General features: G+C 37.3%; 1 protein-coding gene across 11 annotated transcripts in view, besides 1 other annotated feature; it reads right to left on the reverse strand.

The window, feature by feature from the left end:
• SOS2 (SOS Ras/Rho guanine nucleotide exchange factor 2) overlaps positions 1 to 24,440 on the reverse strand; it is a 114,753-nt gene that overhangs the window by 20,729 nt on the left and 69,584 nt on the right. For all 11 annotated transcript variants that reach the window (XM_047431723.1, NM_001411020.1, NM_006939.4 and 8 more), the window contains 10 exons: positions 23,624 to 23,751; positions 21,573 to 22,228; positions 20,707 to 20,788; positions 19,141 to 19,263; positions 15,212 to 15,315; positions 12,150 to 12,372; positions 7,619 to 7,738; positions 7,312 to 7,474; positions 2,084 to 2,201; positions 754 to 926 (listed from right to left, as the gene is read on the reverse strand). In XM_047431723.1, the coding sequence (XP_047287679.1) occupies positions 754 to 926; positions 2,084 to 2,201; positions 7,312 to 7,474; positions 7,619 to 7,738; positions 12,150 to 12,372; positions 15,212 to 15,315; positions 19,141 to 19,263; positions 20,707 to 20,788; positions 21,573 to 22,228; positions 23,624 to 23,751 (1,890 nt within the window). The remainder of the gene's footprint in view (positions 1 to 753; positions 927 to 2,083; positions 2,202 to 7,311; positions 7,475 to 7,618; positions 7,739 to 12,149; positions 12,373 to 15,211; positions 15,316 to 19,140; positions 19,264 to 20,706; positions 20,789 to 21,572; positions 22,229 to 23,623; positions 23,752 to 24,440) is intronic.
• Positions 1,076 to 1,780: an enhancer, noted in NCBI's record as "OCT4-NANOG hESC enhancer chr14:50605652-50606356 (GRCh37/hg19 assembly coordinates)". NCBI's record gives its function as "activates a minimal SCP1, AML or CMV promoter by ChIP-STARR-seq in primed H9 embryonic stem cells {active_cell/tissue: H9 hESC(primed)}" and the evidence as "EXISTENCE:reporter gene assay evidence [ECO:0000049][PMID:30033119]".

A 24,440-nucleotide genomic window follows, 5' to 3' on the forward strand; every position in this document is an offset into this window, starting at 1 on the left:
AGACGGAGTCTCCCTCTGTCACCCAGGCTGGAAGGCAGTGGCATGATCTCGGCTCACTGCAGCCTCCACCTCCTGGGTTCAAATGATTCTCCTGCTTCAGTCTCCCAAGTAGCTGGGATTACAGGCACCCGCCACCATGCCCGGCTAATTTTTTGTATTTTTAGTAGAGACAGGGTTTCACCATGTTGGTCAGGCTGGTCTCAAATTCTTGACCTCAAGTGGTCCTCCCGCCTCAGCCTCCCAAAGTGCTGTGATTACAGGCGTGAGCCACCATGCCCAGCCGATACTTATAGTTATTACTACTATTATTATTTTGAGACAGAAGTCTTACTGTGTCACCCAGGCTGGAGTGCAGTGGCGCTATCTCGGCTCACTGCAACCTACCCCTCCTAGGCTCAAGTGATTCTCCCACCTCAGACTCCTGAGTAGCTGGGACTGCAGGCACCCAGCACCATGCCCAGCTAATTTTTTTTTATATTTTTAGTAGAGACGGGGTTTCGCCATGCTGCCCAGGCTGGTCTCCAACTCCTGATCTCAAGCGATCCGCCCGCCTTGGCCTCCCAAAGTGCTGGGATTACAGGCGTGAGCCACAGTGCCTGGCCTCTTACAGTTACTTTTAAATCTGCAATTAAATTATTATGGACTGTAGTCACCCTGTTGTGCGATCCAATAGTATGTCTTATTCATTCTATTTTTTTTTTTTGGTACCCATTAACACGTTCTCTTCTAAAGATATGCAAAGAAAATATTTACCCTCATATCTGGTTCTATCCGTAAACAGTAAGGCTGATTCTGATACTGCTGAATTTCTCCAGTAATTTCAGCTACTTTCCTCCTCTTACTGAAATTGATTAAATCTTTCCCTTTCTTTTTTAAAAAATCATTATTCCCTTCTTCGGTCTTCAGAATATTTGTTAAATATATTCCTAGTAAAAAAAAAAAAAGAATTTAAAGAAAAGTTATTTTAAATTTTGTTATTTAATCAATTATTTGGGAAAACAACTGATCTAGTAAAGTTGAAAGACATCCTATACTATTCAGCAACTCTACTACTAAAATGTTAAGTCTCTGATAAACAATCATTAACTCTCCATTAAGCATTTTTTAAAGAGAAAGAATTTAAAATAAAAAGAAAATAAAAGCTACTGGCTTGTACAAAAATAAAGGCTGCTAATCTAAGAAATGGCAAATTAAGCTTTTCTAAACTCTAATTTCACCAAGTGCAAATTGTGTTAAATCTATTCTGACCAAATATTTTAATATTTGATTATAAATATTTAATGCCAAGTATCTTAGGTGATTATTAATAAATTAATTTTAAGCCAATTTTGGTTAATAAGTCTATAGGCTTATAAACTAATTCTGTTTTTTCAGAGACTGTAATTTAGATAGAAAAATAATTACTTCTCATTCATGAACAATAAAAAAGTTTTTAGTCCCTTTTTCATGCGTAATTGCTGATTCATTTAAATTGGTGGTTCTCAGCTGGGGACAATTTAGTCCCCCAGGGGATATTTAGGAATGTCTAGAGACATTTTTGGTTACCACAACTCCAGGGTGCTATTGGAGTGTAATGAATAGAGGCCAGGATGCTGCTACAGATCCTATTACGCACACGACAGCCCATCACAACAAAGAATTATTTGGCCCAAAATACCAAAATTGTTGAAGTTGACAAAACTTGATTTAAATCATTCAATTTCAATCATACACAACAATATTTTAATTCTAAATTTAAAAATCACATAGAAGCTTTTAATAAATTAAAGAGAAAGCAAACACTGTAGATGTGACATAGATAGTTATGATAAAAATAACAGTTACCATTTCATGAGTGCGTCCTATGTGCTAGACTTATTAGGTAGTACAGACAAAATATTTTTAATCCTTATTTATAACAACCCTATGAGATATTATAGTCTTCATTTTATAGAAAATAGAGAGTTTTATTATTTATTAATACAGAGAGCTAATAAAAGTAGATGAGCTCAGATATAAAATAAAGATAACATGCCTCTGAAGACTGCTCTCTTTTGGCTATCACACGCTCACCCTCAAAATATATCCATATTTAGTAACTTACCAAAAAAAGGCACACAAGGTGGATTGATTGACTTAAGTTTTACTAGGTATTTTTTAAAGTGATCTTGACTTAATTCCACAGCTTCGTCCAAAATTTTCCTTTTCCTTTCCTGCAGTGCCTTAAAGTATACATAAATTGAGTATAAATTTTTTACAATTCAATCATATTTTATAAATGCAAACCTTTAAATTTTATAAAATTTTGCAAATTATCTGGAAAACAATTTTTTTACATTAAAAGATGAGTGGTATTCCTTTGTACACTTACCTGAAGTGATTTCTCCTCTCTTTATCTATAAATATAAAACCCATAATTTACTCATATAAATTAGAAGATCAAGCAATACAAAAAATTCTACGTCATGCCTTGTGCGTTATTTTGACTAGCCAGGGTTTCAAGTCATAGCTGTAGAAGATGAAAATTATAACCCCTGAACATTCAAATATTTTTCCACTGAAAGATCTTTTGGGGCTAAAGGTTGGGGTTTTGTTAAGGAGAAGACAACTATCAGAAGACAAGAAGACTTGAACAAAAATTTAGTGAATGAAGTAAACTAGCATTTCTTTTATACTTCATTACTAGATCTTCTTATTGAAAATTAATTTTTACTTCAGAAAGAATATACACACACACGTAAACCCCAGAGCGAACACTATGCTTGATGGAGAACCATTCAGTCAATTTCCTTTAAATCAAGGAAAAAGCCAAGGGTATAACATTGTAGCTTTTATTCAATACTATACAGAAGTCCTAGCTAGCATGGACAAGTATAAGAAATAAAGAGCTAGAGATTGGAAAGAAAAAAAAATGTCACTATTCACACAGAGGATATGACTGCCCATGAGGAAACTCCAATAAATCTACATATAGAATGTTAATGAGAGAATCAGCAATGCTGCTATATATAAAACCAATAGACAAAAATCAACTGCATTTCTAGATATCATCAATAAAGAAATCAGGATTTAAAAAAAATTCTGAGGCCAGGTGCAGTGGCTCACGCCTGTAATCCCAGCACTTTGGGAGGCTGAGGCGGGCGGATCATGAGGTCAGGGGATCAAGACCATCCTGGCTAACACGGTGAAACCCCGTCTCTACTAAAAATGCAAAAAATTAGCCGGGCGTGGTGGCGGGTGCCTGTAGTCCCAGCTACTCGGGAGGCTGAGGCAGGAGAATGCCATGAACCTGGGAGGTGGAGCTTGCCGTGAGCCGAGATTGTGCCACTGCACTCCAGCCTGGGTGACAGAGCGAGACTCTGTCTCAAAAAAAAAAAAAAAAAAAAAAAAAAAAAATTCTGGTCAAGTGCAGTGGCTCACACCTGTAATCCCAGCACTTTGAGATGTTGGGGTGGGAGAATAGTTTGAGGCCAGGAGTTCGAAACCAGTCTGCGCAACATAGCAACGCCCAATCTCCACATAAAATTTAAAAAATTAGCTGAGCAGGGTGGCACGTGCCTATAGTCCCCACTACTCAGGAGACTAAGGTAGGAAGACTGTTTGAGCCTGGGAATAGGAGGCTGCAGTAAGCTATGATCATGCCACTGTACTCCAGCCTGGGTGACAGAGCATGACCCTGTCTCTAAGGGTCACTGAAAACAAAATAATTCTAATATACATCTAGCAAAAGAGGTATGCGATCTCTGTCAAAACAAAAAAAACCCCACAAAACTTTATTAACTGAGTAAATAAAGAGATAAACGATGTTCACAGTTGAAAAGACTTGTTACTATAAAAATGTCAGTTCTTCACTAATCTGTAATTGGATTTAGAGAGCCAATGCAACTCCTATCAAAATGCCAATTTAAAAAAATGGAGCTTAAATTGATTCTAAAATGTATATAGGAGAACAAAGAACCAAGAATACGTTCCTCCTGAAAAAGAGTAAGATTGGCGAGGATTTGCCCTACTCTTCTCTATCAAGGACTACTATAAAGTTATGATAGTTTAGACTAGTGGCACTGGCACAAGAGTGATCAAATAGATCAAAGGAACAGAACAGAGAGACCAACAAAAGGCCTACAGATATAGGCATTCAATTTATGACACATTTATTAAATACATTAATATTTCTTTTTTTTTTTTTTTGAGATGGAATCTTGCTCTGTCGCACAGGCTGGAGTGCAGTGGTGCGATCTCGGCTCACTGGAACCTCTGCCTCCCGGGTTCAAGTGATTCTCCTGCCTCAGCCTCCCAAGTAGCTGGGATTACAGGCGCCCGCCAGCATGCCTGGGTAATTTTTATATTTTTAGTAAAGACGGGGTTTCATCATGTTGGCCAGGCTGGTCTCAAACTCCTGGCCTCATGTGATCCACCCACCTCAGCCTCCCAAAGTGTTGGGATTACAGGCATGAGCCACTGCCCCCGGCCTATTTCATAATATTTGACTAAGTATTAATATCTTTAACATATAAAGTTCATACAAATCAATAAAATGCAAACACCCAAACAGAAAAATATATGTATAAAGCAGTTTTTCCTCTATTCCCCTCTAATAACAACCCACTAAAAAAAATAAATAAATAATGTTAAAAGAGGAGTATGTAACCTCCCACATTATTCTCAATACTTATCCAGTTCCACTTAGAGGTTTGGGGTTTGCTCTGCTTTGTGATACTAAAATGGAATAATATTATAGTCATTCTGAAGCTTTTCCCCTGCTGAAATATCACAAATGTTCTTCCACAACAATACACATAGATCCCATTCACTTTGTTGTATAGCTGAACAATATTCTACAATAGAGGTATAAGAGGATGTATTTAATCATTCTCTTACTGATAGACATTCAGGTTGTTTCCTGTTTTCTGCTACTACAACTAATGCTGCAGTAACTATATCTTTGTACATATAACTTTATACTCTGGTGTGTTTATTTCTTTGCAATTCTGGGTCCTAAGAGTATGCACATTTTTAATTTTAACATATATTGTTAGACTGCTTTCCAGAAAGATTGTAAAAACGCACATTCCCAAAAGCAGTATTTATATGGCTGAGTTTCTAACTTGTTATCCTTTACTTAAAAAAAGTCTTTCCAGGTACAAAAGCAAAGGAAGAAACCATAAGTGAAGAGACTGATATGTGCAACTAAATAAAAATGATAAAACGTCCTTATGTCAAAGCATTATACATTTTTTAAATTAAAAAGCAGATAAAAGACAAACAGAAATGAGAATATATGTACAGTCTAAGTTTTAATATCTTTAATATATGAAAAATCCATATAAATGAATAAAATGCAGCTGGACATGCTGACTAATGCCTGTAATCGCAGCTACTCAAGAGGCTGGGACAGGACGATCCCTTGAGCCCAGGAGTTCGAGACTGCAGTGGGCTATGATCATGCCACTGGCACTCCAGCCTGGGTGACAGAGCAAGCTTGACTCTTTAGGAAAAAAAAAAAAAAAAAATCAACAAAATGAAAACACCCTCCCCCAAAAATGAGAGAGGCAATGAATACATAAATCATAAAGTACCCAATAAATACATATTCAACCTCACTAGTTATTATTTATTTTGAGAACAAGTTTCACTCTGTTGCCCAGGCTAGAGTGCAGTGGGGCAATCTTGGCTCACTGCAACCTCCACCAGGCAGGTTCAAGCGATACCCCTGCCTCAGCCTCCTGAGTAGCTGGGATTGCAAACCAGCACATACCACCATGCCTGACTAATTTTTGTACTTTTAGTAGAGATGGGGTTTCATCATGTTAGCCAGGCTGGTATCGAACTCCTGACCTCAGGTGATCCACCCGCCTCGGCCTCCCAAAGTGCTAGGATTACAGGTGAGCCACTGAGCCCAGCCTCACTAGTTATTTTTTAACATACAATTTAAAAATGCAGTGCGATTTCTGCCCCCGCCAGAGGCATGCAACACCATGCCTGGCTATTTTTTTTTTTTTTTTGTAGAGATGTGGTCTCCCTATGTTGCCCAGGCTGGTCTCAAACTCCTGGGCTCAAGTGATCCTCCTGTCTCTGCCTCCCAAAGTGTTGGGATTACAGGTGAGAGCCCCCACACCTGGCCAAAAGCTTTTAATATAATACATAATACCAAGGGGCATTTATCGTATCCTGCTACGAAACACCTTGGCAAAAGTATTTAAAGTCTTAAAGTATATAAATACTCAGACCCAGGATTTCCACCCCTAGATTATTTCTAGGGAAATAATCAAGCTCTTAAAAAGACTTCTACATATGAATATTCCATGATAAATTATCACAGAAAAAAATCAGAAATAACTTAATTGTCCCACAATCTACTGTTGGAATAAATTATGATTTATCCATGATAGAAAACCTTGATGCCATTAAAATCTTGTTTTTGAAGATAAGCTAATAAAAAAATAGAAAACTGTTTATGAGAAAAGGGCCATAAAAATCTATGCACAATGTAATCTCAATTTTGTTATTAAAATATATATGCAAAATATCTTCCTATTTTCTATATCTCCTGAATTTTCAATAGTACATGTTAAACACATATTTTATAATTTAAAAAATATATATATTTTTTAATTTTTTGAGACTGAGTCTCACTGTGTCGCCCAGCCTGGAGTGCAGTGGTGTGATCTCAGCTCACTGCAAATGCTGCCTCCTGAGTTCAAGCAATTCTCCTGTCTCAGCCTCCGAAGTAGCTGGGATAACAGGCGTGCGCCACCATGCCCAGCTAATTTTTGTATTTTTAGTAGAGATGGGGTTTCGCCGCGTTGTCCAGGTTGGTTTCGAACTCCTGAGCTCAGGTGATCGACCCGCCTCAGCCTCCTAAAGTGCTGGGATTACAGGCGTGAGCCACCACGCCTGGCCAAATTTAAGTTTTTGAAATAGTTCTTCCCGTGTTATACTATTGTTGACTACCTAAAGGTAATTAAGACATTACTTGTATTTTTATATTTAAAATCCTTTGTCATTTGAGACTATCAATCAATGTGTTATTGAATAAATCCACTTGGAACTTCATTACATTTAGGTTAAGTACATTACACGGCAGTGCAAGTCTCATATTGTTTATTGAATATTGATATATTTTCTAATATAAGCCTAGGATTCACATATTATATATCATATTCATATATTAACTAATATATCAACATATTTTCTAATATATTTATATCATATTTATGAAGCAAGGATGAATTTACAAAGAATTTAATTAAAAAGACAGATGATAGATGAAATTTCTTTTATGCTAATTTCATCATCCCCGAGAAAAATGAAAAAGTTAAGCCTAAAACTTACCTCAAAGGTATGGTCTAGTCTGTATACTGACACTGAATTTACTGCACTGACTATCTCCAATACGCCATTGAAATTATTCAAATCTTGAAAAACTTGCAGAATTTCTATAATTCTACTTAGTACTGCCACCCGTTCTTCAAAATTTTCTGCTTCCACAATGCATCTAACAACAACAAAAATTCATGGCTTAGAAAAGTTTCTTCACCTCACTTAGAAAACAAGATAATTATGAGTAGCCAGAATTTTAGCTTAAATATGACTTAATATTATGGCTATTAGGAGGTAGTAAGAGTAAATTAAAACTTACTTTTCAAACCAGAGGGTGAGATTTGTGGTATGGCGAATCATTTTTAATAAATTTGGAGAATTTATTTCTTTATCTTCTTTGGTCCACACACTCCCTACAAGTTCAGACGGTTGAACTTTCCTATGGAATTGAAAATCAGTGCAACTTAACCTATAAAGGATTTGTATTACTTAAAGATCTTCTAAAACTTAATAAGAAAAAGACAATTAACCCAAAAGACAGATGAACACATATATGAACAAGTAATTCAGAGAGGAATAGACCCAAATAGCTACAAACACGAAAACACACTTTATCCCTTACTCAGGGAAAATAACATAAAACTACAATGAAATCCCATTTTACTCATTAGATGAACAAAAGTCTGATAACTCAAGGCCAGGCGTGGTGGCTCATGCCTGTAATCCCAGCGCTTTGGGAGGCCGAGGCAGATGGATCACCTGAGGTCAGGAGTTCGAGACCAGCCTGACCATCATGGAAAAACCCCGTCTCTACTAAAATACAAAATTAGCCGGGCATGGTGGCACCTGCCTGTAATCCCAGCTACTTGGGAGGCTGAGGCAGGAGAATCGCTTGAACCCGGGAGATGGAGGTTGTGGTGAGCCGAGATCGCACCACTGCACTCCAGCCTGGGCAACAAGAGCAAAGCTCTGTCTCCAAAAAAAAAAAAAAAAAAAAAGAAACGAAAAAAAAGTCTGATAATTCCAAATGGATAAAAATATAATAAAACAGGAACACCAATAGGGAAGTAAAAATTGATACAACCATTTTGTAAAACAATTTGGCAAGATCTCATAGTACTGAAGAGATACATATCGGATGACTCAGCAATTTGACTCTTAAGTATGCATATACCCTAGATAAACTCTTACACAAATTTATAAGAGCCAGGTGCAGCAGCTCATGCCTGTAATCCCAGCACTTTGGGAGGCTGAGGCGGGCAGATCACTTGAGGTCAGGAGTTTAAGAACAGCCTGGCCAACAAGGCGAAACCCCATCTCTACTAAAAATACAAAGAAATTAGCCGGGCGTAGTAGTGCGTGCCTGTAGTCCCAGCTACTTGGGAGGCTGAGGCAGGAGAATCGCTTGAACCCAGGAAGCAGAGGGTTGCAGTGAGCTGAGATCATGCCACTGCACTCCAGCCTGGGCAACAGAGTGAGACTCTGTCTCAAAACAAACAAACAAAAAACAAAGTTATAAGAAAACGTTTACAAGAATATTCAGTGAAGCATTATTTGCAAGAGTGAATAGAGGCTCATCATCCAGAGACTGGATAAATTGTGGAGTATAAATATAACGGAACACTACACAGCATCTAAAATAAGCTAACTAGAACTGTATTCATTGACTTGAACAAATGCCAAAAATGATTTAAGTAAAAAGCATGTTGCAGAATGATACATAAGTATATGCAGTTTAAAAAAAGTGCAAAACAAGCTGAGGTGCAGTGGTGCGCACCTATAATCCCAGCTACTTGGGAGGATGAAGTGGAAGGATTGATTGAGGCAAAGGGTTTGAGACTATCCTGGGCAATCATAATGAGATCCTATCTCAAAAAAATAAAACAAAAAAAAAAACAGGCACAGTAGTTCCTCCCTGCAGTTCCTGCTACTGAGAGACTGAGGTGGGAAGACTGCTTGAGCCTAGAGTCTGGGGCTGCAATGAGCTATGATCATGCCACTGCATCCCAGCCTGGGTGACAGAGTGAGACCCCATCTTAAACAAACAAACAACAACAACAACAAAAAACCAGTTGGGCACTGTAGCTCACACCTGTAATCCTGGCGTTTTGGGAGGTTGAGGTGGGAGGACAACTTGAGGCCAAGATCAAGACCATCCTGGGCAACATAGCAAGACCTCATCTCTATGAAATTTTTTTAAAAAAATTAGCCAGGTATGGTGGTGCGTGCCTGTAGTTCTAGCTACTCGAGAGGCTGAGGCAGGAGGATTGCTTGAGCCCAGGAGTTCAAGGCTACAGTGAGCTATGATTGTGCCACTGCACTCCAGCCTGGGCAACAGAGTGAGACCCTGTTTCTAAAAAAAAAAAAAAAAAAAAAAAGTGTACAACAATGCTATACGTTGTTTATGAATCTCCGTGTATGTTTATAAATTTTAAAAATATAAAGAGAAATAGTAAACATCAAATTCAGGGTGGTAGTGCTTTCTTAGGGGAAAGAGAGCAATAAGATTTGGGAGAATTACACAAAGGATTTCAATTTTATCTAAAATGTTTTTGTTGTTCATGAATATTCATTATATTATTTCCTATATTTTTTGAATGCCTGAGTATTTAATTAAAATTCAGACAGAAGAGCAGATTAAAACATTGTATACAGTGAGTCAGAATACACAATTTAAAAATTGGCCAAGTACAGTGGCTCACACCTGTAATCCCAGCACCTGGGAGGCCAAGGCAGGAGGACTGCCTGAGGCCAGGAGTTCAAGGCCAGCCTGGGCAACACAGTGAGACCCTATCTCTTTTTTTTCTTTTTAATTGACTGGTGGCATTGCCATCAATGGCCTACAGACTTGGTTATTCATTAAAAAAATATTTTTTAATCAGTAGATTTGTGTATAAATAAGTACTTGCTAACAGTTTCTGAAATGTTTTCTTAAAGTGGCTCTATTATTTCACCAGAAATTTAGTTTACAAAGCTGGGTGCAGTGGCTCATGCCTGTAATCCCAGCACTTTGGGAGGCTGAGGTGGGTGGATCACTGGAGGTAAGGAGTTCGTGACCACTGTGGCCAACATGGTGAAACCCCATCTCTACTAAAAATATAAAAAAGCCGGGCATGGTGGCACACACCTGTAATCCCAGCTACTCGGGAGGTTGAGGCATGAGAATCACTTGAACTTGGGAGGCACAGGTTGCAGTGAGCCGAGATTGCACAACTGCACTCCAGCCTGGGTGACAGAGCAAGACACCATCTCAAAAAAAAAAAAAAAAAAAAATTTAGTTTACAAATGAAGTCAGTATTAGGTATTTTTCTATGTCCTGAAAGTAGGTCCACATGAAGTGAAGTGCTTTTTTTCTGATGTCCATTCATGTAAAACAATTACATTGTGAGAAAAAACATGATGCAGTACTATTTGCTTTTTTTACCTCAAGTAACAAGTCCCTTCATTTCTACGTATCACAAATCCCACAACATAAACAAAGCTACCTGGATTCTAAATTACTTAAAATATAACATAACATTTTGAGTCAGATGTTGACAACTTCTGGTGGGTGCGCTAAAAGTCTGGTTCTGAATGGCATGGCCAGTGCAAACTAGGCAAATTCTAAAGAACATAAAGTAAACATAATGTAGTAAAGGTACCTTACTATATTACCTATTAGCACTAAATTTTATATATTCTTGCTTTTCCCTGTGTAATCTTTATTTAAAAATTGGCTGCTAATCAGGATAACTCCATGAAAATATTTTTATTTTAGAGATAGGGTCTCACTCTGTCACTCAAGCTGGAGTGCAGTGGCACAATCTTGGCTCACTGCAGCCTCGACCTTAAGTGACCTTCCCACCTCAGCCTCCTGGGCAACTGGGACTACAGGGGCACTACAGGCACGAGCCACCATGCCTGGCTATTTTTTGTAGTTTTTGTATGACGGAGTTTGCCATGTTGCTCAGGCTGGTCTTGAACTCCTGGTCTCAAGCGATCTGCCCACCTTGGCCTCCTAAGTGCTGGGATTACAGGCATGAGCCATCATACCCAGCCAAGCACATTTATATTTTAAATTGAGGCTTCTATACTACTCACAATAGCTATGATATGGAATCAACAGATTAATGAATAAAGAAAATGTGGTATATATACACAGTGGAACACTATTCGGCCATAAAAAAAGAATGAAAGCCTGTCGTTCAAGGCAACATGGATGAGCCCGGAGGACCTTATGTTAAGCAAAATAAATCAGACACAGAAAGAAAAATATAACATGTTCCCACTCATATATGAAAACTAAAAAAAAAATGAACTCATGGAAGTAGAGAGTAGAACTGCAGGTATTAGTGGCTGGGAAGGATTGGGAGGAGGGGAAAACAGAGAGGTTGGTGTAGAAAAAGTTTTTGATGGAATGATAATGATAGTGACATTTTTCGACAGAGAGCTGTTACATGCAAGGCCTGTACCCTTCGCAACAGCCTGAGCTGTAAATGAGAAAAGAAAACCCATCTCACACAATATTCTATTCACTTAGCTGCTAAGGGCCTAGCATCCATACTAACTGACTTGACTGACTGACCTCAAACTAAACCAAGGTGAGAAGGTATTAGGAGTTGAAGAGGGGTGGTGGACTTGAAAATCTTCCTGCCATTCCTCTTGTAATGGATTGCTAGTCCCCAGTCTAGACATAAGACTTTTACTTGCAGGGCAGACTAGTTAAAAACTGTGCTATGACCTTTCCTCTAAGCCCATGAGAGTAGATGAGGTATTTTTAAGCACTCATGAATAATGTGCAAAATGTTTTGAAAATAGGTAATGTTCAAGATTCTTAAAAATAAAGCAAGACATTAACATTAATTGTCTACCTGTAAAGATCAGACTCCAAAAGTGTCAGCTGACGTGCAATTTCTATTGGATGAAGTGTCATGAGATCAAATGTTTCAAACTGTCCTGGTTTGCTGATATGCCATTCAATTGGTGGAGGTGGACTTTCAAAGGTAATATTATGGCTTACTCCGTTTGCCTGAGCTTGCTTCTTCCTCCTGATGATCTTAGCAATTGACTCTACCCATTTTTTCATAGCTTTCCCTGGAAAAAGAACACATAAAGAAAAATGTCTTTTACTTGACAGACATGACTGCAAATCTTCATTTAATCCTTAACTTTCACCCAGCCTCAACAGTTACCAACTCATGGCCAATTTTTATTTTCTCTAACCCTACTCATGCCATCCCGTCACTTCCTAGGTTATTCTGAAACAAATCCGAGACATCGTATTTCATTCATATTTAAGCACCTTTAAAACACTCTTTAAAGTAATAACCACAACACCATTATCACACATAAAACTGACAACTTCTTAATACATTGTTATCTTGAAGTATTTTGTCACTGTTCACATTTCTCTCTCTGATTATTTTCCTTTTTTTTTTTTTTTGAGACAGGGTCTTGCTCTGTGGCCCAGGTTGGAGTGCAGTGGCGCAATCTCAACTTATTGCAACTTCCATGTTGCGGGCTCAAGTGATCCTCCCACCTCAGCCTCCCAAGTAGCTGGGACTGCACATATCACCACGCCTGGCTAATTTTTGTATTTTTTTTGAAATGGAGTCCCACTTTGTCACCCAGGCTGGAGAATAATGGCGTGATCTCGGCTCACTGCAACCTCCACCTCCCGGGTTCAAGCGATTCTCCTGCCTCAGCCTCCTGAGTAGCTAGGATTATAGGTGCACACTACCATGCTTGGCTAATTTTGTTGTATTTTTAGTACAGACAGGGTTTCACCATGTTGGCCAGGCTGGTCTCGAACTCCTGACCTCGTGATCTGCCTGCCTTGGCCTCTCAAAGTGCTGGGATTACAGGCGTGAGCCACCGCGCCTGGCCTAATTTTTGTATTTTTAGTAGAAATAGGGTTTATCCATGTTGCCCAAGCTGGTCTTGAACTCCTGGGCTCAAGTGATCTGCCTGCCTTGGCCTCCCAAAGTGTTGGGATTACAGGCATGAGCCACTGTGCCTGGCCATATTTTCTTATATTTAGTTTGAAAAGGGATCTGAACAAGATTGCACATATTGCACTGAGTCAATGTGTCTCAAGTCTCCTTTAATCTACAGGTTACTGCTTTATTGCATATTTTTGCTTGCACTTTGTGGAAGAAATTGTCATTTGCCATGTTTTTCTGTCCTCTATATTTTCTGTAAAGCAGAGATATAGTGACTTGGTCTGATTCAGGATTAATTTTATGACACAAATACTTGCCAAGAATACTTCTAACAGGAGGCATATAATGTCTAGTTAACTTTTTGTGATAGTACCCATCCAGTCATGATAATTCCCTAGGTTTATTATTTTACTAGGACCTGAGAAATGTGATATTCTACCATTCCTTCTTCACTTACTAGCTGAAATACTTCCACAAAAATAAACTTTTCCTCATGAACTATTTGGTTATTCTGAAGTATAACTAGTATAGAAAAGAACTTTGGACATTAACATAACCATTTACTTAATTTATTCTAATGTGTGTGTGTATTTTAGAAGCTTCTTAGATTGTGTCTAATCCAGTATTCTCATTTAGAATATAAATTTTTGTTTTTTGTTTATTTTGAGACAGGGTCTCACTCTGCCCAGGCTTGTGTGCAGTGTTGCAATTTCGGGTCACTGCAGCCTCGAGCTCTGGGCTTAAAAGTGATCGCTTCACCTCAGCCTCCCGAGTAGCTGGGACTACAGGCACATGCCACCATGCTTGGCTAATTTTCATATTTTTTGTAGAGACTGGGTTTTGCCATTTTGCCCAGACTGGTCTCAAACTTCTGGGCTCAAGCAATCAGCCCGCCTCTGCCTCCCAAAGTGCTGGGATATTCTAGGTGTGAGCCATTGCACTGGCCTAGAATACAACTTGAAAATGTAGTATTATGACAATTTCAAGGCACACATAAAAATGTATCATAAACATCTCAAAGTAGAAACAAAGGAATAACATTCTTAACTTTAAATAATATTCCCCTTAAAGAACAAGTAGAACACGAAATAAGTTACACTTGTTATAGTATTTGTAATGCCCTATAATGTCAGATAAAACATAAATGTTCTTGATTCAATAATATACATTTGATGACACATTTGTTTAAATGTTCATGGCCTAGGGTTTCATTTCTTGGGCTATGATTCTGAAACTTAAAATAGAAAACTCCTCTCTTTCAGATTTCAGAAATATACCAAAAACATTTCCAGAAGATGTAAATATTATAAGAAAGCTGTTAATCATTAAAAGAATAAGATTAAAGAAAGAAAACATAAAATTACACATATTTTTATTCAGTTGAAGAAATGGCAACCTTGCAATGAGATAAAATTAAATAGCTTAAATTTATTAAAAAGAACTTTCGACTTCTTTAAAAGAAATATTCTCCTCAAAAACTTGAAAAGGCAAAGTTCTGAGACCTCAGATGATTGGTCTAAACATATGTGAGTTTCTTGCTGTCTATAAAAAACATTCCAAATGTTATTTCAGCTTTTTAAAAATGAAAAATGCTGGCCAGGCATGGTGGCTCATGCCTGTAATCCCAGCACTTTGGGAAGCTGAGGCAGGTGGATCATCTGAGGTCAGGAGTTCAAGACACCAGGCTGGTCTTGTGGTGAATGTGGTGAAATACCATCTCTACTAAAAATACAAAAATTAGCCAGGCGTGATGTCATGTGCCTGTAGTCCCAGCTACTTGGGAGGCTGAGGCAGAAGAATCACTTGAACCTGGGAGGCGGAGGTTGCAGTGAGCTGAGATGGCACCACTGCACTCCAGCCTGGACAACAAAGCAAAGCTCTGTTTCAAAAAAAAAAAAGAGAGAGAAATGTTTTAGTTTCTTAAAGTCACACAAATTTGAACATAAACTCATGTTCAATATAAGATTCAATCAAACCTTTATATAATATACCTCTTACACTTGAAATGAAGGATTCTAGTCTTTCAAGCAATTCCAAGTCTCTTTCAAAGTCATAAAAATGATGTTCAACCCAATGCCGAAATACATTTAAGATCCTGATAAAATGGAAAGAAACACATTTTAGTGAAACATAAGTGTTCAATTACACTTCTTCCTTCTCTAATGCCACGATAATAGCTTTACATACAAGGGTCAACATAATACTCAAAGACTCTCTAATCTGTATTTAATTAATACTTTAAATGCTTCAATGACAAGAGGAGAGTAGGTCTCCAAACGGTGTATTATTTATTAATAAAATGTATACTTTTAAAATATTTATAAGCATAAAAATAGTGGTTTCTGTGCTTCCCATTTATGTTAAGGAAAAGTACCCTTTATTCATATGTAGAAAACTTATGCTCTATATTACAAAAGCTATTTTAAGTTCATAAAAAGCATTTTTAAGATTTAAATTTTGGTACTTTTTCACTTAAAATGGAAAACCAACTAAGATGTACTGTATCTGGTTCTAAATGCAAGTGCTATCATCAAATTTCTTTCTTTTTTTTGAGATGGAATTTTGCTCTTGTTGCCCAGGCTGGAGTGCAATGGTGCGATCTCAGCTCACTACAACCTCCAACTCCCAGGTTCAAGTGACTCTCCTACTTCAGCCTCCCAAGTAGCTGGGATTATAGACGCCCGCCACCATGCTGGGCTAATTTTTGTACTTTTAGTAGAGACGACGTTTTACCATGTTGGCCAGGCTGGTCTCGAACTCCTGATCTCAGGTGATCCGCCCACCTCAGCCTCCCAAAGTGCTGGGATTATAGGCGTGAGCCACTGCACCCAGCCTATCATCAAATTTCTATGTAATCTACACATATACTACAGTCTCTTATTTCATTTCAAAAGACAAAAATAGAACTGTTTTGTTTTACAGTATCACAAAAATGATTACCTATAACCTTGCAAAGAGAGATTTAATCAACTATGCAAATGGAAAGGAAAGGAAAGACAAGGGGAGAGGGAAGAGGAGGGAAATGGAAGAGGAAGAAGGGAAAAGGAAAGGGAAGGAAGGAAACTAGTAGGCAAGCCATGGAAAGAAAATATTTGCAAAATGTTTATCTGACAAAGGACTGGCATTCAGTCCTACCCAATTTACTCCTACAACTCAGTAATAAAGAGACAAGTATCTCAACAAAAATTAGAGGATTTGAACAGATTCTCCACAAAATAAGTATGAATGAAATACCACTACATCCAGCAGTATGGCTAAGGCACAAAGACTGACATTACTAAACACTGGTGAGAATATGAAGCAACTTGAACATTGTTGGTGAGAATGTTTTGGAAGTTTTGGCAGTTTCTTTCAAAACTAAACATACACATACCTTCTGACCCAGCCACTCCACTCTGAGTTGTTTACCCAAGAAAAGTGAAAAATATTCACAGTAAGACAGGTAAGATAAAGTTCATAGCGGCTTTATTCATAATAATAAAAAACGAGAAAAAGCCCATGTATCTTTCAATGGGAAAAATGAATAAACTGGTATATTCATATAATAAAACACAACCTCGCAATAAAATAAGCCATTGATACAAATTCAAAAGCATGTTGAGTGAAAGAAGACACAAAATTGAGTTTTTAAGAATGCATTTATTAAGACTCTAAAACAGGTAAAACTAATCTATGGAGGGAGAAATTGGAACACTGCCTTTGGGCAGTGGGAACAAAAACTGATGAGAAGGAACATAAGGGAACTTTCTGGGGTGTAGTAACATTTGATATCTTGAAAGGCGTTTGGATTATGGAGATACATGTATTTGTTAAAACTCAACAAAAGTACACTTAAGATGTGTGTATCTTCTGTCTTCAGTGGCAGCAAGAAAAAAATGTATTTAATTATATGCACATTTTAGAACAAAAGAAAAACAAACACTGAACTGTTAATGACATACAAGTTGAAGTATTTAAGGAGTGTACTTCAAAATTCATACAAAAAAATGAACTGATAGATGAATGATAAATGAACACATAAATGAATAGATATGAATAGATGAATACATATCTAGGTGGTGGGTTTATGGGTGTTCATTGTAAAATTCTCAGTTTTGCTGTATGTTAAAATTTTTCATAATAAAATGTTAGAAAAATTACTACCACCCATTTTACTAGAAATCTTTCAATATTTATATAAACAGGTTTAATAACTTGGCTTGGATTTCACAGTTTTCCACTCCATCCAATTCCATACAGGTAATCTCATCTACTACTTGCAATACAATGCCTACATTCCTCTCAGGTCAATGTCCTTATCTGTGTCCTCAGCACACCATTCTCATTTCTGCCTTCTTGTCTTTGTTCATACTATTTCTCATGACCCTGAATACCTACAGTCACCTTTCTACCTATCTAAAGCCTATACATCCTTTAGGGGCAGTCTCAGATTTTACCTTCTCCAAGATGCCTTCCCTAATTACTCTGGCCTAATCTTTGCTATTCCTGAAATTGTATAGGGATGTATTTTTCTAAGTCACTTAAGCACTCCAAGTAGAACAATATATAACTGTTTCATGTGTCTTTTTCCCCCAGTAAAGTCCCCAAGAAAGCCACAATATCATGACAGTCTATGTTATTTTTGTACTTAGCATAGTTATAAGTACAGGACTGAGAACACAGCAAATGCTTAGAAATACATAAAGAGCTTATATGACTGAGAAACGAAGATTATACTCCCACCCCCTACCCCACCCAATAGCAACCTCATAAATGTATGTGTCATATCAAGGGATTTAATGTGATTGTAGATAAGTACAAATGCATCACAGCTAGTAGAAAAGAATTACTTATTTATTGCTGATACATAAATAATCTCATCTTCTTATACAAAGAATGACGTTAAAAGTTTTAGTGAAAGACATATAGCTGGGAGCACTATCATTCTTCTAAAACTGCATTTGTTTGTGGCAATTATCCTGGGAAATAAATAACTAATATACTCAGTTCCAAAATTACAATTTATTGGTCAACAGTAATCAAGGAAACTTGAAATTTAGAGAGAAAAAAAATTTAAATTACATATAATTAATAAGATAACTTGGTTTCCAATGGAAGGAGGAAGATAATACTTTGGTTACTTGGACAGTAAAGAGGGCTAAGAGAAGGCGCTTCCAATTTTCAATGCTTAGTGGTACGTACACACACACACACACACACACACGCAAAGAAAGTCAGACATGAGTCTGAATCTTGTCCTGCCACTCCCTTTACATAACTTAGCTCAAATTACTTCACCTTGCTAGGTTTCAATTTCCTTATATATAAAGTAGGAATAGTAATCATGTTGTAAGAATGAGATAAAAAAGATAAAGCATTTAGGGTAATCCCCGGCACACAGTAGTATTTATTAACTGGAAGCTTCTACAATCAAACACATTTTTAGAAATTATTGCAATTAAACTAACAAATGTCTATATATTTTGTGAGAGATAAGTGGGAAAAGGGCTAGAACTTCCACAAATATTATAAATTGTAAAAAAAGCCAGGATTACTGTATGATCGCAAAGGGAAATGAAGGAAAAAAGTGTGAAAAAAGGTTGACAGCAGGAAAGCTCACATGAAATTTTATAATTTTTACTTACAATAAAAAATAGGTATCCTGATACGTAAGCATAACATATCACATGCCAGAGATATGTGATGCAAACATAGGATATTTAAATATTTGAATTTCTTCAGGGTATTTAAGAATAGCTTCACTGAGAAAGAACTCTTTTAGTTTAACTTAACTGCTGTGAAGTTAAAAATATTCCCTATATTTGAATTAAAAGCTGAGAGCTTTTGTGTTAACTATATATTGAAAACTGACACATAAAATGTGTGTGTGTGTGTATATATATGTGTATATATATATATATAAAAAATATTCAAGCCAAACCTAAGTTGTACTGGTTGGACATATTCCTTGCGAAATCTTTTAAGGTCTGCACTGATTGGCTGCTCGCCTTTCTCTATTGCCAATTTGTCTGCGTCAGTAGGTTCTGGCTCTGGAATTTCAAACCTAAGAAGAAAAGCAAAAGGAGAAAAATCCGTTCATACATAATGAAAATACAAGGAGGAAAACAGCAAGCAACCTTCTTTCCTACCACTTCCACGAAAAGTGGATTACTGTTAAACTTCCCTTGAGGTATGATATACTACAAAAAACTGTCCTTTGGCTATACAAAACTGACGTTTTGTATTCTTACTTTTATAAAAACTAAAGTTTTGTCTTTTAGCACTGATAATACAGAAAAGGTCCAGGGAAAAGAGCCAAGGAAAGAATTCATAAGGAATTTAAAGAACATGACAGAAATTGCTTATCTAACAATGTCTTTAATATTTATATTATTAAAATGAAAGTAGGCTAATAAATTTATTTAAATGAGTACAAATTCAAAGAGAGGGCCAAAACCGAATATTTAACAATATTTAAATAATTTACCTAAGTGGATAAGATAAAGATAAAAAACCTTGCTCAAACATAGGAAATACAGCTAAACTATAAGTCTAACGTGTGCTTTCCTTATTCTGGACATGGAAACAACTAAGTAGATCCTCATAGCACATTACACTGACTCAGTCTGGTAAATTTAGTTTGATAAAACAACATAGTGATAGAGATCTAGAATTATATCTTGATAATACAGTTAATAAGCTTTGGTATAATAATAAGTTTTAGTAAGTTTTAAAACGTAAAACTAAAAATCATTCTGGAGTCCAGATTCTACATTTTAAACTATAAAACATTTAAAATGCCACTATAATACTAGGTAAAACAAATTCAACCCAACACTAATTTTTAAAAGTTAATCATAATAAAGGAATTGCTGATTTTTTAGGTTTAATAATGATATCTGATTATTAAAAATGATCCCGTATTTTCTAGAGATACATAGAAAAATATTTATAGATGAATTATGTTGTCTAGGATCTACTTCAAAATAATCATGGGGTGGGGTGTTTAAATTTGTAGGGAAACAGATGAAACAATGAGTTGATAATTACTGAAGGTGGTTGATGAATAAATGGGTTTATTATATTCTTGTATCTGCTCTTGTATGTGTTTTGAAAGTTTTCATAACAAGTTTGTTTTAAAAGTGGAAAGTATTTGGCAAAGTAGTCTACGGTCCAAAAAAAAAAATAGTGGTAAGTAGAAAAGTCTCTTTTAAGAAAATATCATTTTATTACACAGAACAATATTCATTAAAATATAGTGCTTTCATCCTCTAAATTAGTCTTTCTGATTACCACTTGAAATATTTCTAAGAGCTGAAAAGATCTGTGTTTATAAACAGATTTTAGGGAGTACTCCATTTGAAGAGAATAGTAATACTGCCAATTTAATGCCAAATAAAATATGTTCAATAATTAACTTGAGTATTTATTAGGTACTAGGCACTTTACAAAATACAGTTAATTTTTCACAAAATGTCAATATAACTGAAATACATATTTTTCTTACCGTTCAATCAGTAAGCTCAGCAATTCCTGTGGTTTACAAAATGAACGATATGTGGTAAGAAAAGTACGAACAAAATTGGGATCTGAAAAGGCAGAGCATAAAATAGGTTTCATGTTTAATGTATTCAGTTTAATTAACTCAAAGTACCATATTTGGAGGCCTTCCTCCCTTTTTCTTTTTACTTTGGCTCCTCAGATTGTGGCTTTTCCTAACAATCATGGTACTGGCAGGATACCATGGTATCCCTGCCATACATAGAGAAATACTGACATAGAGAATATACTATGGTATATCCTTAATAAGCGAGGATTGTTTTCAAATTTGAAATTCATGAATATGGCTGGGTGAGGTGGCTCACGCCTATAATCTCAGCACTTTGGGAGGCCGAGGTGGGCGGATCACGAGGTCAGGAGATCGAAACCATCCTGGCTAACACGGTGAAACCCCATCTCTACTAAAAATAAAGAAAAAAAAAATTAGCCGGGCATTGTTGCGGGCGCCTATAGTCCCAGCTACTCGGGAGGCTGAGGCAGGAGAATGGCGTGAACCCAGGAGGTGGAGCTTGCAGTGAGCAGAGATAGCGCCACTGCACTCCAGCCTGGGCAACAGAGCAAGACTCTGTCTCAAAAAAAAAAAATTCATGAATATGCATATTTTATGAATATTTATTCAATAATTAATGAAGTTAACAATATTACATTTTTAGACCTTTAATTCCTTCTCTTATTTATTCCTTTTGTTTTTGCAGTATTTTTATATTTTGGAGGCAATCCATTTTTTCCCCAAGCCTCAAATATTTTTGAGCATCCTTAAAAAGCTTTTGGGTCCCAGGCCCTAGGTCAGCAGTTGTAATGAGTTTCACATACCTGCATACATATGATATGTTAACCTTTCAATTAATTTCACTACAGTTCCTCCTTTAATAATGGGGATGCCACTTCTACTTTGCAAGTTGTCTTCAAAAACAATGTTTTCCTCAGAGTCTTTTACTACAAAACGATATACTTCAGGACTTGGTAATCTCAGTGGTTGCTCATTTTCTTCTTTCAATAATACTGAATCTAACATTCGATCTAGAGTACTACGATAATGAAGAGAAATAAGGGCTGCCATCCAGTTGTTTTTTTCTTCAGCAGACTTAGCAGCAAATATTATGCTGTTCTCATCTTTGGATACTAATTCAAATGCATGCTTGTGCTCACAAGTATCTTCTTTATCACAAATTTGTATTTTCCTCATGACAAATTTTTCTTTTAACCTGTATTCTGCACTACTGTAACCTGGAAGCCGAGTCTGGCCATGATTAGGTTTACAACTGATCATTAAGCCATCAAACAGAAAAATATGCCGTTCATGTTTGGCACCGATTCTTGTCAATGGTCCCTCCATAATGAATTCATTACAACACTGTCCAATATCTTTGCCTTCCCATCCATCGATATTTTTCTGAATTTCATTCATTTTTTTGATAGCCAGGTGTTTGCTTCTTAATTGGTGACTATAAAAAGGGCAAACAGGATCTCTAGAAAAAACAAACAATATAGCTTATTCAACAGCTAGCAACCCAAATGGTTTCAAGCATAAACCATCTCAAATCAAGTGAGTAAAATATTAAATAACCAAACAGTAGCTTTTACGCACAGCATTTAGTTCTAACTTTGCCACTAAATAATACAGCCCTCAATTTCATTATTATGAAAGAGAAGTACTACTGGCTCTATAAGAACTAAAATTACAAAAAATCCTAAATTTCTTTCATAGATTATATTTTTAAACATTTATTAAGTCTATCCTAATAATATAACAATGCTAATCTTTTTTTTTTTTTTTTTTTTTTTTTTTTTTTTTTGGAGCTCTTGTCCCCCAGGCTGGAATGCAATGGCACGATCTTGGCTCACTGCAACCTCCCCCTCCCAGGTTTAAGTGATTCTCCTGCCTCAGCCTCCCGAGTAGCTGGGATTACAGGTGCCTGCCACCACGCCTGGCTAATTTTTGTATTTTTAGTAGAGATGGGGTTTCACCATGTTGGCCAGGCTGGTCTCAAACTCCTGACCTCAGGCGATCTGCCCACCTTGGACTCCCGAAGTGCTGGGATTATAGGCGTGAGCCACCGTGCCCAGCCAACAATGCTAATCTTAAGACTAGGCTGGGTTGGCCAGGTGCAGTGGCTCAGACCTGCAATCTCAACACTCTGGGAGGCCAAAGCAGGCAGATCACCTGAGCCCAGGAGTTCAAGACCAGCCTGGGCAACATAGCAAAACCCTATTTCAACAAAAAATACAAAAATTAGGCAGGTGTGTTGGCATGTGCCACCCAGCTACTCGAGTCCCAGCTACTCCAGAGGGTTGAGGCAGGAGGACTGCTTGAGCCCAGGAGGTTGAGGCTGCTGTGAGCTGAGATCACATCACTGCACTCCAGCCTGGGCAACAGAGTGAGACCCTGTCTCTTAAAAAAAAGAAAAAAAGGCTGGGCGCAGCGGCTCACACCTGTAATCCGAGCACTTTGGGAGGCTGAGGTCAGGAGTTTGAGACCAGTCTGGCCGACGCGGTAAAACCCCGTCTCTACTAAAAATACAAAAATTAGCTGGGCATGGTGGTGGGCTCCTGTAGTTCCAGTTACTTGGGAGGCGAAGGCAGGAGAATCATTGGAACGCAGGAGGCTAAGGCTGCAGGTTGCAGTGAGCTGAGATTACACCACTGCACTCCAGCCTGGGCAAGAGAGACTCCTTCTCAAAAAAAAAAAAAGGAAAGGAAAAGGAAAAAAGAGAGTAAAAGACCAACATAAAAGTATATAAAAGTATGACAAGCACAACTTTCAATAATGTAACTATCACAATAAATCACACTTCTTTGAAAACCAGGCATCAGAGACAGCGAAGTAAGCAGAGGCATTCACGTTTTCAACACTTTGGAATTACCCAGGTCGACGTCTAGGTGAATACTGCTTGTAAATTCGGTCCATGCTACCTTGGAGATTCATGAGAGCAGTAATAGCTTGGTTCAAACATTCTCTGTCTTCTTGTTCTTCACTACATGCTTTCAATTGCTAAGAAAAAACAGAAAGAAAAATCAAAACTGCATTGTTTGATTCTTCCCCCAACTTTCTAGTAATAGAAAAAGCAGCAACAAATATTATCAACTCTAAGTTAATTTTATATATACTTAATAAAAACAGCTATAATTTTATATATACCTACTGCCCTCTCAAACCAACCCTTTTTCTTTCTTTTTTTTTTTTTTTTTTGAAACAGGATCTCACTCACTGTGGCCTTGAGCTCCTGGGTTCTAATGATCCTCCACTCTCAGCCTCTCAAGTAGCTGAGACCACAGGCGAATGCCACCACACCCAGCTAATTTTTAAAATTTCTGTAGAGACAGGGTCTCGCTATGTCTCCCAGGCTGGTCTTGAACACCTGCTCAAGCTATCCTTCTGCCTCTGCCTCCCAAAGTGCTGGGATTACAGGTATGAGCCACCAGTCCTGGCCCAACCTTCTTTCTATAAACATAAACACAATACAGATATAAACTAACATGAGCATAGTAATCAGGAAAAAAAAAAGCAACTGTAAAAACCATTCGGACATTTTATTTTTATTTTTTATTTTTTTGAGACAGGGTCTTACTCACTCCGTCACCAAGGGTGGAATACAGTGGCAGGGCTAACTGCAGCCTCGATCTCCTGGGCATAAGGCTTCCCGAGTAGCTGGGACCACAGTTGCATGCCACCACATCCAG

The sequence above is a fragment of the Homo sapiens genome, chromosome 14 (assembly GCF_000001405.40).
Source record: "Homo sapiens chromosome 14, GRCh38.p14 Primary Assembly".
Taxonomy (NCBI): Eukaryota; Metazoa; Chordata; class Mammalia; order Primates; family Hominidae; genus Homo; species Homo sapiens.